The 15,968-nt window shown below is 42.6% G+C and overlaps 1 protein-coding gene and 1 long non-coding RNA gene across 3 annotated transcripts in view, besides 1 other annotated feature; one reads left to right on the top strand and one right to left on the bottom strand.

Annotated features, from left to right (window-relative positions):
* The window catches only part of FER1L6 (fer-1 like family member 6), a 268,075-nt gene extending 252,998 nt beyond the window's left edge, over positions 1–15,077 (bottom strand). The window contains exon 1 of the mRNA NM_001039112.2: positions 14,879–15,077. The gene's annotated coding sequence lies outside the window, so the exon portion shown is untranslated. The remainder of the gene's footprint in view (positions 1–14,878) is intronic.
* Positions 1,116–10,289, top strand: LOC124902014 (uncharacterized). Of its 2 annotated transcripts, none has more exons than XR_007061085.1 (2): positions 1,116–1,154; positions 9,941–10,289. It is a non-coding gene; the product is annotated as an uncharacterized LOC124902014 (long non-coding RNA). The 2 variants fall into 2 exon arrangements; XR_007061084.1 differs by lacking the exon at positions 1,116–1,154 and adding an exon at positions 8,547–8,634.
* Positions 15,365–15,513: a silencer, noted in NCBI's record as "fragment chr8:124863791-124863939 (GRCh37/hg19 assembly coordinates)". NCBI's record gives its function as "represses an EF-1alpha promoter that drives an FKBP-Casp9 reporter gene in an ReSE screen in phorbol 12-myristate 13-acetate-treated (for megakaryocytic differentiation) K562 erythroleukemia cells {active_cell/tissue: K562(+PMA)}" and the evidence as "EXISTENCE:reporter gene assay evidence [ECO:0000049][PMID:32094911]".

Here is a 15,968-nt window from a genome sequence, read left to right as displayed (position 1 = left end):
ATAAACATCTTCTGCACTGCAAAAGAAACAATAAAGAGACAACTCACAAATTTGAAGAAAATATTTGCAAACTATACATCTGATAAGGGGCTAATATTCAAAATATATGAGGAACTCAATTCAATAGCATAAAAACAAATAACCTGGTCAGGCGTGGTAGCTCATGTCTGTAATACCAGTACTTTGGGAGGCTGAGGCCAGAGGAGTGCTAGAGGCCAGGAGTTGGAGATCAGCCTGGGCAATAAAGAGAGACCCCATATCTACAGAAAAATTCAAAAATTAGCCAGGTATGGTCACAGGCACCTGTGGTCCTCACTACTCGGGAGGCTGAGGCAGGAGGATCGCTTGAGCTCAAGAGTTTGAGGCTGCAGTGAGCTAGATAGCACCACTGCACTCGAGCCTAATGATGACCAGTGTTGGCAAGGATGTGGAGACAAGGAAACCTTGCTGTGCTGTTGGTGAGAATATAAATTAGCACAGACATTTCAGGAAGTAGCATGATGTTTCCTTAAAACACTAAAAATAGAATTACTGTATGATTCAGCAATCTCATCTCTAGGTATATATCCAAAGAAATTAAAATGGGCATGCCAAGGATATATCTGCACTCCCGTGTTTATTTCATCATTATTCACAATAGCTAAGTTATGAAAGCAACCTCAGTGACCATCAAAGGATGAATGGGTAAAGAAAATGTAGTGTGTATATATATACATATTTTTATATACGTAGTGTATATATATATAAAATATATATACACATGATGGAATACTATACAACCTTAAAAAAATAAGGAAATGCTGACATCTGTGACAACATGGATGGAAAGGAAGGACACCGTGCTAAGTAAAATAAGCAAGGCACAAAAAGACAAATACCGTATAATCTCACCTATATGTGGAATCTAAAAAAGTCGACCTCATAGAAACAGAGCATAAATCATGCTGCTATAAAGACACATGCACACGTATGTTTATTGCGGCATTATTCACAATAGCAAAGACTTGGAACCAACCCAAATGTCCAACAGTGATAGACTGGATTAAGAAAATGTGGGGGGGAGGAGCCAAGATGGCCGAATAGGAACAGCTCCGGTCTACAGCTCCCAGCGTGAGCGACGCAGAAGACGGGTGATTTCTGCATTTCCATCTGAGGTACCGGGTTCATCTCACTAGGGAGTGCCAGACAGTGGGCGCAGGCCAGTGGGTGCGCGCACCGTGCGTGAGCCAAAGCAGGGCGAGGCATTGCCTCACCTGGGAAGCGCAAGTGGTCAGGGAGTTCCCTTTCCGAGTCAAAGAAAGGGGTGACGGACGCACCTGGAAAATCGGGTCACTCCCACCCGAATATTGCGCTTTTCAGACCGGCTTAAAAAACGGCTCACCACGAGACTATATCCCACACCTGGCTCGGAGGGTCCTACGCCCACGGAATCTCGCTGATTGCTAGCACAGCGGTCTGAGATCAAACTGCAAGGTGGCAGCGAGGCTGGGGGAGGGGCGCCCGCCATTGCCCAGGCTTGCTTAGGTAAACAAAGCAGCCTGGAAGCTCAAACTGGGTGGAGCCCACCACAGCTCAAGGAGGTCTGCATGCCTCTGTAGGCTCCACCTCTGGGGGCAGGGCACAGACAAACAAAAAGACAGCAGTAACCTCTGCAGACTTAAATGTCCCTGTCTGACAGCTTTGAAGAGAGCAGTGGTTCTCCCAGCACGCAGCTGGAGATCTGAGAACGGGCAGACTGCCTCCTCAAGTGGGTCCCTGACCCCTGACCCCTGAGCAGCCTAACTGGGAGGCACCCCCCAGCAGGGGCACACTGACACCTCACACTGCAGGGTATTCCAACAGACCTGCAGCTGAGGGTCCTGTCTGTTAGAAGGAAAACTAACAAACAGAAAGGACATCCACACCGAAAACCCATCTGTACATCACCATCATCAAAGACCAAAAGTAGATAAAACCACAAAGATGGGGAAAAAACAGAACAGAAAAACTGGAAACTCTAAAACACAGAGCACCTCTCCTCCTCCAAAGGAACGCAGCTCCTCACCAGCAATGGAACAAAGCTGGATGGAGAATGATTTTGAGGAGCTGAGAGAGGAAGGCTTCAGACGATCAAATTACTCTGAGCTACAGGAGGACATTCAAACCAAAGGCAAAGAAGTTGAAAACTTTGAAAAAAATTTAGAAGAATGTATAACTAGAATACCCAATACAGAGAAATGCTTAAAGGAGATGATGGAGCTGAAAACCAAGGCTTGAGAACTACGTGAAGAATGCAGAAGCCTCAGGAGCCGATGCGATCAACTGGAAGAAAGGGTATCAGCAATGGAAGATGAAATGAATGAAATGAAGCGAGAAGGGAAGTTTAGAGAAAAAAGAATAAAAAGAAATGAGCAAAGCCTCCAAGAAATATGGGACTATGTGAAAAGACCAAATCTACATCTGATTGGTGTACCTGAAAGTGATGCGGAGAATGGAACCAAGTTGGAAAACACTCTGCAGGATATTATCCAGGAGAACTTCCCCAATCTAGCAAGGCAGGCCAACGTTCAGATTCAGGAAATACAGAGAACGCCACAAAGATACTCCTCGAGAAGAGCAACTTTCCAAGACACATAATTGTCAGATTCACCAAAGTTGAAATGAAGGAAAAAATGTTAAGGGCAGCCAGAGAGAAAGGTCGGGTTACCCTCAAAGGGAAGCCCATCAGACTAACAGCGGATCTCTAGGCAGAAACCCTACAAGCCAGAAGAGAGTGGGGGCCAATATTCAACATTCTTAAAGAAAAGAATTTTCAACCCAGAATTTCATATCCAGCCAAACTAAGCTTCATAAGTGAAGGAGAAATAAAATACTTTACAAACAAGCAAATGCTGAGATTTTGTCACCACCAGGCCTGCCCTAAAAGAGCTCCTGAAGGAAGCGCTAAACATGGAAAGGAACAACCGGTACCAGCCGCTGCAAAATCATGCCAAAATGTAAAGACCATCGAGACTAGGAAGAAACTGCATCAACTAACGAGCAAAATAACCAGCTAACATCATAATGACAGGATCAAATTCACACATAACAATATTAACTTTAAATGTAAATGGACTAAATTCTCCAATTAAAAGACACAGACTGGCAAGTTGGATAAAGAGTCAAGACCCATCAGTGTGCTGTACTCAGGAAACCCATCTCACATGCAGAGACACACATAGGCTCAAAATAAAAGGATGGAGGAAGATCTACCAAGCAAATGGAAAATAAAAAAAGGCAGGGGTTGCAATCCTAGTCTCTGATAAAACAGACTTTAAACCAACAAAGATCAAAAGAGACAAAGAAGGCCATTACATAATGGTAAAGGGATCAATTCAACAAGAAGAGCTAACTATCTTAAATATATATGCACCCAATACAGGAGCACCCAGATTCATAAAGCAAGTCCTGAGTGACCTACAAAGAGACTTAGACTCCCACACATTAATAATGGGAGACTTTAACACCCCACTGTCAACATTAGACAGATCAATGAGACAGAAAGTCAACAAGGATACCCAGGAATTGAACTCAGCTCTGCACCAAGTGGACCTAATAGACATCTACAGAACTCTCCACCCCAAATCAACAGAATATACATTTTTTTCAGCACCACACCACACCTATTCCAAAATTGACCACATACTTGGAAGTAAAGCTCTCCTCAGCAAATGTAAAAGAACAGAAATTATAACAAACTATCTCTCAGACCACAGTGCAATCAAACTAGAACTCAGGATTAAGAATCTCACTCAAAGCCGCTCAACTACATGGAAACTGAACAACCTGCTCCTGAATGACTACTGGGTACATAACGAAATGAAGGCAGAAATAAAGATGTTCTTTGAAACCAACGAGAACAAAGACACAACATACCAGAATCTCTGGGATGCATTCAAAGCAGTGTGTAGAGGGAAATTTATAGCACTAAATGCCCACAAGAGAAAGCAGGAAAGATCCAAAATTGACACCCTGACATCACAATTAAAAGAACTAGAAAAGCAAGAGCAAACACATTCAAAAGCTAGCAGAAGGCAAGAAATAACTAAAATCTGAGCAGAACTGAAGGAAATAGAGGCACAAAAAACCCTTCAAAAAATCAATGAATCCAGGAGCTGGTTTTTTGAAAGGATCAACAAAATTGATAGACTGCTAGCAAGACTAATAAAGAAAAAGAGAGAGAAGAATCAAATAGACACAATAAAAAATGATAAAGGGGATATCACCACCGATCCCACCGAAATACAAACTACCATCAGAGAATACTACAAACACCTCTACGCAAATAAACTAGAAAATCTAGAAGAAATGGATACATTCCTCGACACATACACTCTCCCAAGACTAAACCAGGAAGAAGTTGAATCTCTGAATAGACCAATAACAGGAGCTGAAATTGTGGCAATAATCAATAGTTTACCAGCCAAAAAGAGTCCAGGACCAGATGGATTCACAGCCGAATTCTACCAGAGGTACAAGGAGGAACTGGTACCATTCCTTCTGAAACTATTCCAATCAATAGAAAAAGAGGTAATCCTCCCTAACTCATTTTATGAGGCCAGCATCATTCTGATACCAAAGCCAGGCAGAGACACAACCAAAAAAGAGGATTTTGGACCAATATCCTTGATGAACATTGATGCAAAAATCCTCAATAAAATACTGGCAAACCGAATCCAGCAGCACATCAAAAAGCTTATCCACCATGATCAAGTGGGCTTCATCCCTGGGATGCAAGGCTGGTTCACTATACGCAAATCAATAAATGCAATCCAGCATATAAACAGAGCCAAAGACAAAAACCACATGATTATCTCAATAGATGCAGAAAAAGCCTTTGACAAAATTCAACAACCCTTCATGCTAAAAACTCTCAATAAATTAGGTATTGATGGGACGTATTTCAAAATAATAAGAGCTATCTATGACAAACCCACAGCCAATATCATACTGAATGGGCAAAAACTGGAAGCATTCCCTTTGAAAACTGGCACAAGACAGGGATGCCCTCTCTCACCACTCCTATTCAACATAGTGTTGGAAGTTCTGGCCAGGGCAATCAGGCAGGAGAAGGAAATAAAGGGTATTCAATTAGGAAAAGAGGAAGTCAAATTGTCCCTGTTTGCAGACGACATGATTGTTTATCTAGAAAACCCCATCGTCTCAGCCCCAAATCTCCTTAAGCTGATAAGCAACTTCAGCAAAGTCTCAGGATACAAAATCAATGTACAAAAATCACAAGCATTCCTATACACCAACAACAGACAGAGAGCCAAATCATGAGTGAACTCCCATTCACAATTGCTTCAAAGAGAATAAAATACCTAGGAATCCAACTTACAAGGGATGTGAAGGACCTCTTCAAGGAGAACTACAAACCACTGCTCAAGGAAATAAAAGAGGATACAAACAAATGGAAGAACATTCCATGCTCATGGGTAGGAAGAATCAATATCGTGAAAATGGCCATACTGCCCAAGGTAATTTACAGATTCAATGCCATCCCCATCAAGCTACCAATGACTTTCTTCACAGAATTGGAAAAAACTACTTTAAAGTTCATATGGAACCAAAAAAGAGCCCGCATCGCCAAGTCAATCCTAAGCCAAAAGAACAAAGCTGGAGGCATCACACCACCTGACTTCAAACTATACTACAAGGATACAGTAACCAAAACAGCATGGTACTGGTACCAAAACAGAGATATAGATCAATGGAACAGAACAGAGCCCTCAGAAATAACGCCGCATACCTACAACTATCTGATCTTTGACAAACCTGAGAAAAACAAGCAATGGGGAAAGGATTCCCTATTTAATAAATGGTGCTGGGAAAACTGGCTAGCCATACGTAGAAAGCTGAAACTGGATCCCTTCCTTACACCTTATACAAAAATCAATTCAAGATGGATTAAAGATTTAAACGTTAGACCTAAAACCATAAAAACCCTAGAAGAAAACCTAGGCATTACCATTCAGGACATAGGCGTGGGCAAGGACTTCATGTCCAAAACACCAAAAGCAATGGCAACCAAAGCCAAAATTGACAAATGGGATCTAATTAAACTAAAGAGCTTCTGCACAGCAAAAGAAACTACCATCAGAGTGAACAGGCAACCTACAACATGGGAGAAAATTTTCGCAACCTACTCATCTGACAAAGGGCTAATATCCAGAATCTACAATGAACTCAAACAAATTTACAAGAAAAAAACAAACAACCCCATCAAAAAGTGGGCAAGGGACATGAACAGACACTTCTCAAAAGAAGACATTTATGCAGCCAAAAAACACATGAAAAAATGCTCATCATCACTGGCCATCAGAGAAATGCAAATCAAAACCACTATGAGATATCATCTCACACCAGTTAGAATGGCAATCATTAAAAAGTCAGGAAACAACAGGTGCTGGAGAGGATGTGGAGAAATAGGAACACTTTTACACTGTTGGTGGGACTGTAAACTAGTTCAACCATTGTGGAAGTCAGTGTGGCGATTCCTCAGGGATCTAGAAGTAGAAATACCATTTGACCCAGCCATCCCATTACTGGGTATATACCCAAATGACTATAAATCATGCTGCTATAAAGACACATGCACACGTATGTTTATTGCGGCATTATTCACAATAGCAAAGACTTGGAACCAACCCAAATGTCCAACAATGATAGACTGGATTAAGAAAATGTGGCACATATACACCATAGAATACTATGCAGCCATAAAAAATGATGAGTTCATGTCCTTTGTAGGGACATGGATGAAATTGGAAACCATCATTCTCAGTAAACTATCGCAAGAACAAAAAACCAAACACCGCATATTCTCACTCATAGGTGGGAATTGAACAATGAGATCACATGGACACAGGAAGGGGAATATCACACTCTGGGGACTGTGGTGGGGAGGGGGGAGGGGGGAGGGATAGCATTGGGAGATATACCTAATGCTAGATGACGAGTTAGTGGGTGCAGTGCACCAGCATGGCACATGTATACATATGTAACTAACCTGCACAAAGTGCACATGTACCCTAAAACTTAAAGTATAATTAAAAAAATAATAATAATAATAGTAATAATAATAATAAAAATAAATAAATAAATAAATAAAATGTGGCACATATACACCATGGAATACTATGCAGCCATAAAAAATGATGAGTTCATGTCCTTTGTAGGGACATGGATGAAATTGGAAATCATCATTCTCAGTAAACTATCGCAAGAACAAAAAACCAAACACCGCATATTCTCACTCATAGGTGGGAATTGAACAATGAGATCACATGGACACAGGAAGGGGAATATCACACTCTGGGGACTGTTGTGGGGTGGGGGGAAGGGGGAGGGGATAGCATTGGGAGATATACCTAATGCTAGATGACGAGTTAGTGGGTGCAGCGCACCAGCATGGTACATGTATACATATGTAACTAACCTGCACATTGTGCACATGTACCCTAAAACTTAAAGTATTAAAAAAAAAAAAAAAAAGAAACAGAGCAGAAAGGTGGTTACGAGAGGCTGAGATTTGTGGGAGGAGGAGGGATGGGGAAAAGGAGGATATGGATCATAGTGTAGAAAGTTTCAGTTAGACTGGAATTCAAAGTTGCTAAGATAGATTTTTAACATTCTCACCACACACAAAAAAGCGATAAATTGGTGAGGTGATGGATTAGCTTGACTGACTCTTTCCATAATGTACACATAGATCAAAACATCACATTGAAAATAAATAAATAGGCTAGGCATGGTGGCTCATGCCTGTAATCCCAGCACTTTGGGAAGCCAAGGCAGGCAGACTGCTTAAGCTCAGGAGTTTGAGACCAGCCTGTACAATGTGGCAAAACCCCATGTCTACCAAAAAATAAGAAAATTAGCTGGGCGTGGAGGTGCACACCTGTGGTCCCAGCTACTCTGCAGGCTGAGAAAGGAGGATTGCTTGAGTCCAGGAGGCAGAGGTTGCAGTGAGCCCAGATGTGCCACTGCACTCCAGCCTGTGTGACAGAATGAGACTCCGTCTCAAAAAAAAAAATGAATAAATGAATAAATAACATTACATTGTCCTCTACATATATGCACACAATTATTTGTCAATTAAAATTTTTTAAAAACATTTTTTAAAACAGCACCACCTACTTCCAAATGAGTGGTCCCTACAGGGGCAATACCGCCCTGGTGGAAAACTTCTGGCCTAAATGACCTCTACCATCCCTTCCAGAGCTGGCTTTCCACTATCCTAAACTCTGAAGGTTGATCATTGATTGAAAGCTTTGGTGCCAGAGACTGATCCACTGCTTCTCAAGCCGTCTCACCTTCTTCCTGGTCGTCTAGTGAGTCATGTTTCCCAGTCTCCCTTGCAGTTAGTTGTGATTGCATCACTGAGTTGTGGCCAAAGTATATGAAGAGAAGTGACAGATGCCATGCCCATGTCTGGACTGCTAAACCCTTGCATCTGATCTTCCACTTCCTTTCTCTCTTTCCTCATCTGCCAGCAGGTGTTGAAGATGGCACAGTCCCCATCAATCCAGGACCCAACCTCATTCCACTAGTGACTAGACTGCCAGTCAGCAAGAAATAAGCATCTGGCACTTTAAGCCACTGGGATTTCAGGTATATCTGTTACAGCAGCTAGCACTGCCTTAACTAATACATCTTCCAAACACTCACAGCCTCTTAGCATATTGACTTCTGCTGTGTCTAAAAATTTTAGCTAAGATCTCAAAGTTTAAGAGAATAGATAATATTCTCCTATATTCTAAAAACAGCACCAAGAACCTGACAGACGCCATCTCCAGAACTGTCTAGGAGGTGCCAAACTGGCCTTGAGACCCTCACCTCACCATCCTTATCAGCCTATGTAATTGTTCTTAAAGTGTCATTTAAAGGAACCTGGTTAAAGTAGGAGAACCCATCAGAGGAGGGAGTCGCCAGAGAAGAGTGGGGAGCATTTCCTCTCCTGTTTCCCATGAAGGAGGGGAAGGGATGACCCCCAGTCCCTGGCCAAATGAGGAGGGCTCCAAAGACTCTTCAAAAAAATGTGGGGATGCCTGCAGGAAGGGGAACCTGACACCTCACTCACAGGTGAGATGCTAAGTGCCAGGGCCACTCTGGAGTGAAATGTGTTCAGCTTTTGGAGAGTTTATCAGTCCCCAGGAGCTTGAGAACAGACGTGAACATATAAATTAGTTTCTGCTTTTTGTCCAGAAAATTCCGGCAGTAGGAACAGGGTAGAACCTCAGGAAGAGGAGAGAGGGCAGTGGAAGGGCGGTGGCCTCCAAGAACCTGCTGGCTGAGGGGCCTCATGGAGGACAGCCACTGCACCACTGCTGCTGGTACCCACTTCAGAGGCCGGCCACCAGGACGAGCCCATCCATCTGACACACTGTAAGAGCCAGGAACAGGAGGGGTGATAGGAAGAGAGAAAGAGTAGAGCATTCCTAACAGGTTAGTACTGAACTGGGAGGGAAGGAAAAAGTTTTAACTGCATATGATGTTAAAATTTTGATTTACACCAGACTGGATTTTTTTCTGAGATAGTGTCTCACCCTGTTGCCCAGGCTGGAGTGCAGTGGTGTGATCATATCTCATTGTAACCTTGAACTCCTGGGCTCTGGTGATCCCTCTGCCTCAGCCTCCTGAGTAGCTAGGACTACAGGTGCATGCCACAATGTCTGGCTAATTTTTAAAAAATTTTTTTGTAGATATGGAGTCTCTGTCACCCATGCTGGTCTTGAACTCCTGGCCTCAAGTGATCCTCCTGCCTTGGCCTCCCAAAGTGCTGAGATTACAGGCATGAGCCATCGTGCCAAGGCCTGGACTACTTTTTAATAATTAAATATAAATCATGATCACCAAAACAAAACATTCTAATAACTAAAATCACAGAGAACAATGAGATTTTTCTGATTTTTCACAGGGCTGGGAAGAAAAATCCATCAGAGTAAGAGATGGCAGTGGTTGGAAAAAGTAAAGACATTCTCTACTTGTACCCTCTGTGGAGTTCAGACTTTCCATAAATCAGGCACTGTGTCAATGAGGATACCCAGGAGATGAATGGAATCTACTGTCTTTCCCACGCTTGTCAAGGCATCTCATCTGAGCAGTTACCAACATCAGCACAGTGGGGCTGGTCTGCCCCATCTCCATCTGACCCGCCCAGCTTGCCCAGTGATGCATCACACCGCAATAGTGGGACATTTTTTTTCTAACAATGGTTCTACTCCCCTGGTGTAAAAGCAAATAAACGGGAATGGGGTATAACTTGATACTAAATTCTGTGAAAATAATCCATTTGCACTGCACATAGTTAATGTGTGGTGCTAACTTGCTACTCTTCATCCAAGCAGACAGAAGCAGTTGTGCCCTCATATATAGAGGTGCCAGGCAGTCGGGGACATGATGAGGAAGTGTTTCTGAAATCTCTTGTCAAAAGCATTCAACAGGAATGCTAAGAATAATGGCAATGAAACACCACCACACCAAGTAAACAATCGCATTAACTTCATTTTGCAGATGAGGAAATTGAAGCTCAGTGTGATTAAATGACTTACACAAGGGCACGGCTGCTAAGACATGAAAGAGCTTGGAACTGGACCCAAGTTCTTCCTTCTCTCACAGAAAGATATGCTTGCTGAAAGCTCTGCAGATTTGAAGATTGTGTTCTATATGTTAGTATGAGGCCTGGACCCTAATATATATATATATATATATATATATATATATACACATACATATATATATATATATACACACACACATATATACACATATACACATATATACATATATCTCATACACATGTATATACATATATCTCATACACATATGTATATACATATATCTCATACACATATGTATATACATATATCTCATACACATATGTATATACATATATCTCATACACATATGTATATACATATATCTCATACACATATGTATATACATATATCTCATACACATATGTATATACATATATCTCATACACATATGTATATACATATATCTCATATACATATGTATATACATATATCTCATATACATATGTATATACATATATCTCATATACATATGTATATCTGTAATATATATACTACATTAGTTACATATTAGTAATATATACAATATACTAATATAATTAGTAATAATATACATTAGTTATATACATTAATACATAATATATTAGGGTCATATGGGGCTGGCCCATATGACCAGCCCTACTGTGCTGATATATATACACATATATATATATATACACACACACACATATATATACACACACATATATATACACACATACACACATATTACGTATATGTGTGTGTGTGTGTGTGTACATATACACACACACACACACACACATATGGTTTTCACTTTAAAAGTCTCCTTCACATCCGTTCTCTTGCTCCACTCTGTTTACAACTTTGTGGGGTCCAGTGGGAAGACAGCCGGCCCAAGATCATGTTTTTGGTCCATGGCAGAGTCAGGACATAAACCCACACATCCAACTATTGCCCACTCCCTTTTTCCCATTCCATACTAATGCCCTGGATGAGAACTCAGTGGGCTCTAACCAACCCTCTGCTCTACGCCTGCCCTCCATGGCACCAACCTCTATGTATTGTTTAAGTTAGAACCAGAACTTACCAAGGCTACTCAAGGCCCAGAGCAGAGGACACAGCAAAAAATCAAACCAACTCCCTGCCTGCCAGGAGCTCGCAGTTTTAAATGGAATGCCATTTGTGGTTTTGTGGCCACCTACTATCCATTCCAGTCAGGCTCCCCAAACACATAAAAGAACTGAGAGCACGCATCACAGCATCCCTCTCCCATGATGCCTGGAACTGTCCTGGATCCTGAACTGTTTGAGCTAAATTCCAGCCTTTTCATCTGTCCCCTGGGCAACCTTCGATTCCATTTATATGAAATCTCCAAAATAGGTAAATCCGTATGGACAAAATGCAGATTCATTGTGACCCAGGGCCGATTGAAGAGGGAAAGCTGAGAGTAATAGGGTCTCCTTTGGAGCTAAAACTGCTTTAGAACTAGGTAGAGGTGATGATTGTAAGCCATTGTGAATGTACCGAATGCTGCGGAACTGTACACTTTGAAATAGTTATGTTACATGAATTTCACTTCAATAAAAATTTTAACAAACTAGGATACGAGACAGATTATGGTAAGTGTATAGCAGAAGAATAAACGCAGTGCCAGGAAGCCTGGAGAGATTGGCTTTCACTCCCAGTTTCACTCCCACAGTCTCCCGCTATCCCCCACCATGCCTGGCAGTCCCCACAGTCACCTCTGCTCAAGCTGCTTCCTCCTCCCAGAATGGGCTTCTTTCTTTGTTCTGCTGAGAGCCCATCCCCAAGGCTTAGACAAAATGAGAAGGGCCTGTGAAGACACCCTTGGTAATAAAGGGACAGAAGATACCCTTCGGTCCCCTGTTCTATTCACATTCCTGAAATGGGAACACCTCCTCCATTGGCCCTCTGTCCCAATCCCCATCATAGACCACCACACTCAGAAACACAGTGTGATGGACTCTTTTGTGGCAATGAATCTAAGTTTCACATTTGAGTTGACATGCTACACAGCAGAGATCCGAGATGAAGCTGTGACAGCCCAGAAGGAAAGTGACTGTGACTGCAACCACATAATCTCCCAGAACACGCAGACATCTGGGTGTGCACTGTGGGAGGAGCCTTGGATTTCCCCAGAGCTTGGAATGATCTAGAGGGTATCAACACCCTACTGGGGAAAGGAGTAATAAAATGCAGGTAATATTTTTTTCTCATCCTCTCAGTGTTGTCATAAGGATAAAATGCAATAACTTCCTCGAAACAGCTCAGAAAAGCCTAGATCATTTACAAACATAAGGCATTGTTTATGTTATAATTGCCGTGGCATCATGTTGGAGCCGTAACTGTCCTGAGAAACCATCTCACCAGACGTCTTTTCATTTTATAGATGAAGAGACTCAGGACTGACAGGAGCCTGCCAGAAGTCACACAGGCCTTTACTGAAGGGCCAGCACTCAGACGTAAACTTTCTAATCACGGTCCCTGATGCTTCCCTGAGAGCCAGGCCCACAGAAGCCCTGCATCCTTTGCTCCTCAGAGGTGCACCTTCTGCTGCCCTGTCCAGGCTCTGTGGAGTTGCAGGAGACTGGCAGCTCTGCAGAGTCCCTGGGTAGCATCACTGTGGCTTCATCAAGGCCGCGATGTTGTTCCTTCTTACATCGTTCTCAGTGAAAACCAGCCTCTGTGCTTGACACTGTTGGGTTGTCTGCAGCTTTCTGGCCTTTTCCTCCTCCAGGTCTTCATCATAGCCATGAGCATGTCACCTGCATACGTGCAACTTGGATAGGTTCTCTCAAAATATGTTACTCCACGCTTGCCCGTGGTGAGGCGTACCTACCCCTTTTTCTCTACTCATCCACCCTTGTAAAATCTCCCCTGATTAATACAATACCCCAGGAAAAAAGTAACAATTTTTCAACAGCCTTGGGTCCAAATCATCATCTGTATCATTTCCTCATTAAGACCTTTCTAAGAACTGTTGAATAAAAATGATTTCTTCTATTTTAGGCCGGGTACGGTGGCTCACGCCTATAATCCCAGCACTTTGGGAGGCTGAGGTGGGTGGATCGTTTGAGGTCAGAAGTTTGAGACCATCCTGGCCGTCATGGTGAAACCCCGTCTTCTCTAAAAATACAGAAATTAGCCGGGTGTGATGGCAAGCACCTGTAATCCCAGCTATTCTGGAGCCTGAGGCACGAGACTCACTTGAACCTGGGAGGTGGCGGCTGCAGTGAGCCAAGATTGTACCACTGCACTCCAGCCTGGGCTATAGAGTGAGACTGTCTCAAAAAAAGATTTCGTCTATTTTAAAGTCTGAGGGTGGGCACAGTGGCTCACGCACGTAATCCGAGCACTTTGGAAGGCTGAGGCAGGAGGATCGCTTGAGCCCAGGAGTTTGAGACCAACCTGAGCAACATAGCGAGGCCCCGTCTCTACAAAAATAAGAATAAAATTGATCTGATAGGTAGCTAAATAGACACATAGAATACATCTATATCTAATACATATTTCATATATGATATATGATATATAACCTTAGGGATGATTACATTTGCCTCAAAATCCATCTCCAAAAATTACAATGTGGGATTCTGGACTGGCTCCTAGAACAGAAAAAGACATTCGTGGAAAAACTTGTGAAATCCAAATAAAGCGTGGAGCTTAGTTAATAGTAATGCTGCATTTTCAGTTTCTTCATTTTCATAAATGTACCATGGTAATATAAGATGTTACCATTAGGGAAAACTGAGTGAGAAATTTAAGAGAACTCAATTATCTTTGCAACTTTTCTGTAAAATAAAAATTTATGTTTTAAAAGTCTAACAATCTTGTGAGAGGCCCCACATTTTCTATGAGTTCCTGAGGCAACTTCCTCATGCTTTTTGTCTCTATAATCCCCCAAAATTTTACCAGTCTCTCTTCTTTCTCCTCCCTCTGTCTCTGTCAAACACACACACACACACACACACACACACACACACACACACACGCATGCTCACAACATGGAGTTCAAGCAACAAGGTCAACCTGGCTACAGCGACCACTGAGTACCCAATCTGCCAACAGCAGAGACCAATGCTGAGTCCCCAATATATGGCACCATTCCCTGGGGTGACCAGCCAGCTACCTGGAGGCAGGTTGATTACATTGGACTGCTTCCATTGTGGAAGGGAGGGGAAGCATTTTGTCCTTACTGGAATACACATTTGCTCTGGATATGAACTTGCCTTCCCTGCACACAATGCTTCTGTAGAATCTATTATCTATGGACTTACAAAATGCCTTGTCCACCTTCACGATGGTCCACACAGCATTGCTCTGATCAAGGGACTCACTTCACAGCAAATGAAGCGCAGCAGTGGGTTCGTGCTCGTGGAATTCACTGGTCTCACGGTGTTCCCAACCGTTCTAAAGCAGCTGGCTTGACGGAATGGTGGAATGGCCTTTTGAAGTCAGTTACAGGCAACCTCACCAACTAGGTGACAGTACTTTACAGAAGTGGGGCAAGATTCCACAGAAAGCTGTGTATTCTTTGAATCAGCATCCAGTCAGGTGCTAGTCAGGACTCATGGGTCCAGAGATCAAGGGGTAAAAATGGGATGGCACCACTTGCTATTACCCCTAATGACTCACTAGCAAAATTTTTGCCTCTTGTTCCTTTATTATCCTGTTAGCCTAGAGATCTTAGTTCCAAAAAAGAATGCTTCCACTAGCAGATACAACAGTGATTCCATTGCACTGAAAGTTAAGGCCACAGCCAGCCACTTTGGGCTCCTCATACCTCTGAATTGACAGGCAAAGTTTTGGTGTTGTCTAGGGCGACTGATCCTGACTACCAAGGGGAAAATGTGCTACTATTCCACAATGGAGGCAAGAAAGAATATGTCTGGAATACAGGAGATCCCTTAGGGCATCTCTTAGTATTACCATACCCTGTGATTAAAATTTGTGATTAAATTCATGGAAAACTACAATAATCCAATTCACGCAGGACTACTAATGGCCCAGACCCTTCAGGAATGAAGGTTTGGGTCATCCTACCAGGTAAAGAACCTCAACCAGCTGAAAGGTTTGCCAAGTACAAAGGGAATTCAGAATGGGTAGCAGAAGGTAGTTCTAAGTATCAGGTACAACCATGTGCCCAGTTACAGAAATGAGGACTGTTATTGTCATGAGTTTATTTTGTGGTGAACATATTTGTGTACATATATGTACATTGCCTCACACAGAACATTTCGTGACTCTAGAAATTCCCTGGAGATTTGGTGGAGGTTCCAGCGCCCAGTAGACCTACAGCCATCACCATTCCCTCTCCCCTCCTGCTCCCCCGGGGAAATGATCGACATTTCTTGCACTTTCTTATTA

This window comes from Homo sapiens, chromosome 8 (assembly GCF_000001405.40).
Source record: "Homo sapiens chromosome 8, GRCh38.p14 Primary Assembly".
NCBI lineage: Eukaryota > Metazoa > Chordata > Mammalia > Primates > Hominidae > Homo > Homo sapiens.
Note: the sequence above shows the minus strand (reverse complement) of the source record. Positions and strands in the feature narration are given on the sequence as shown.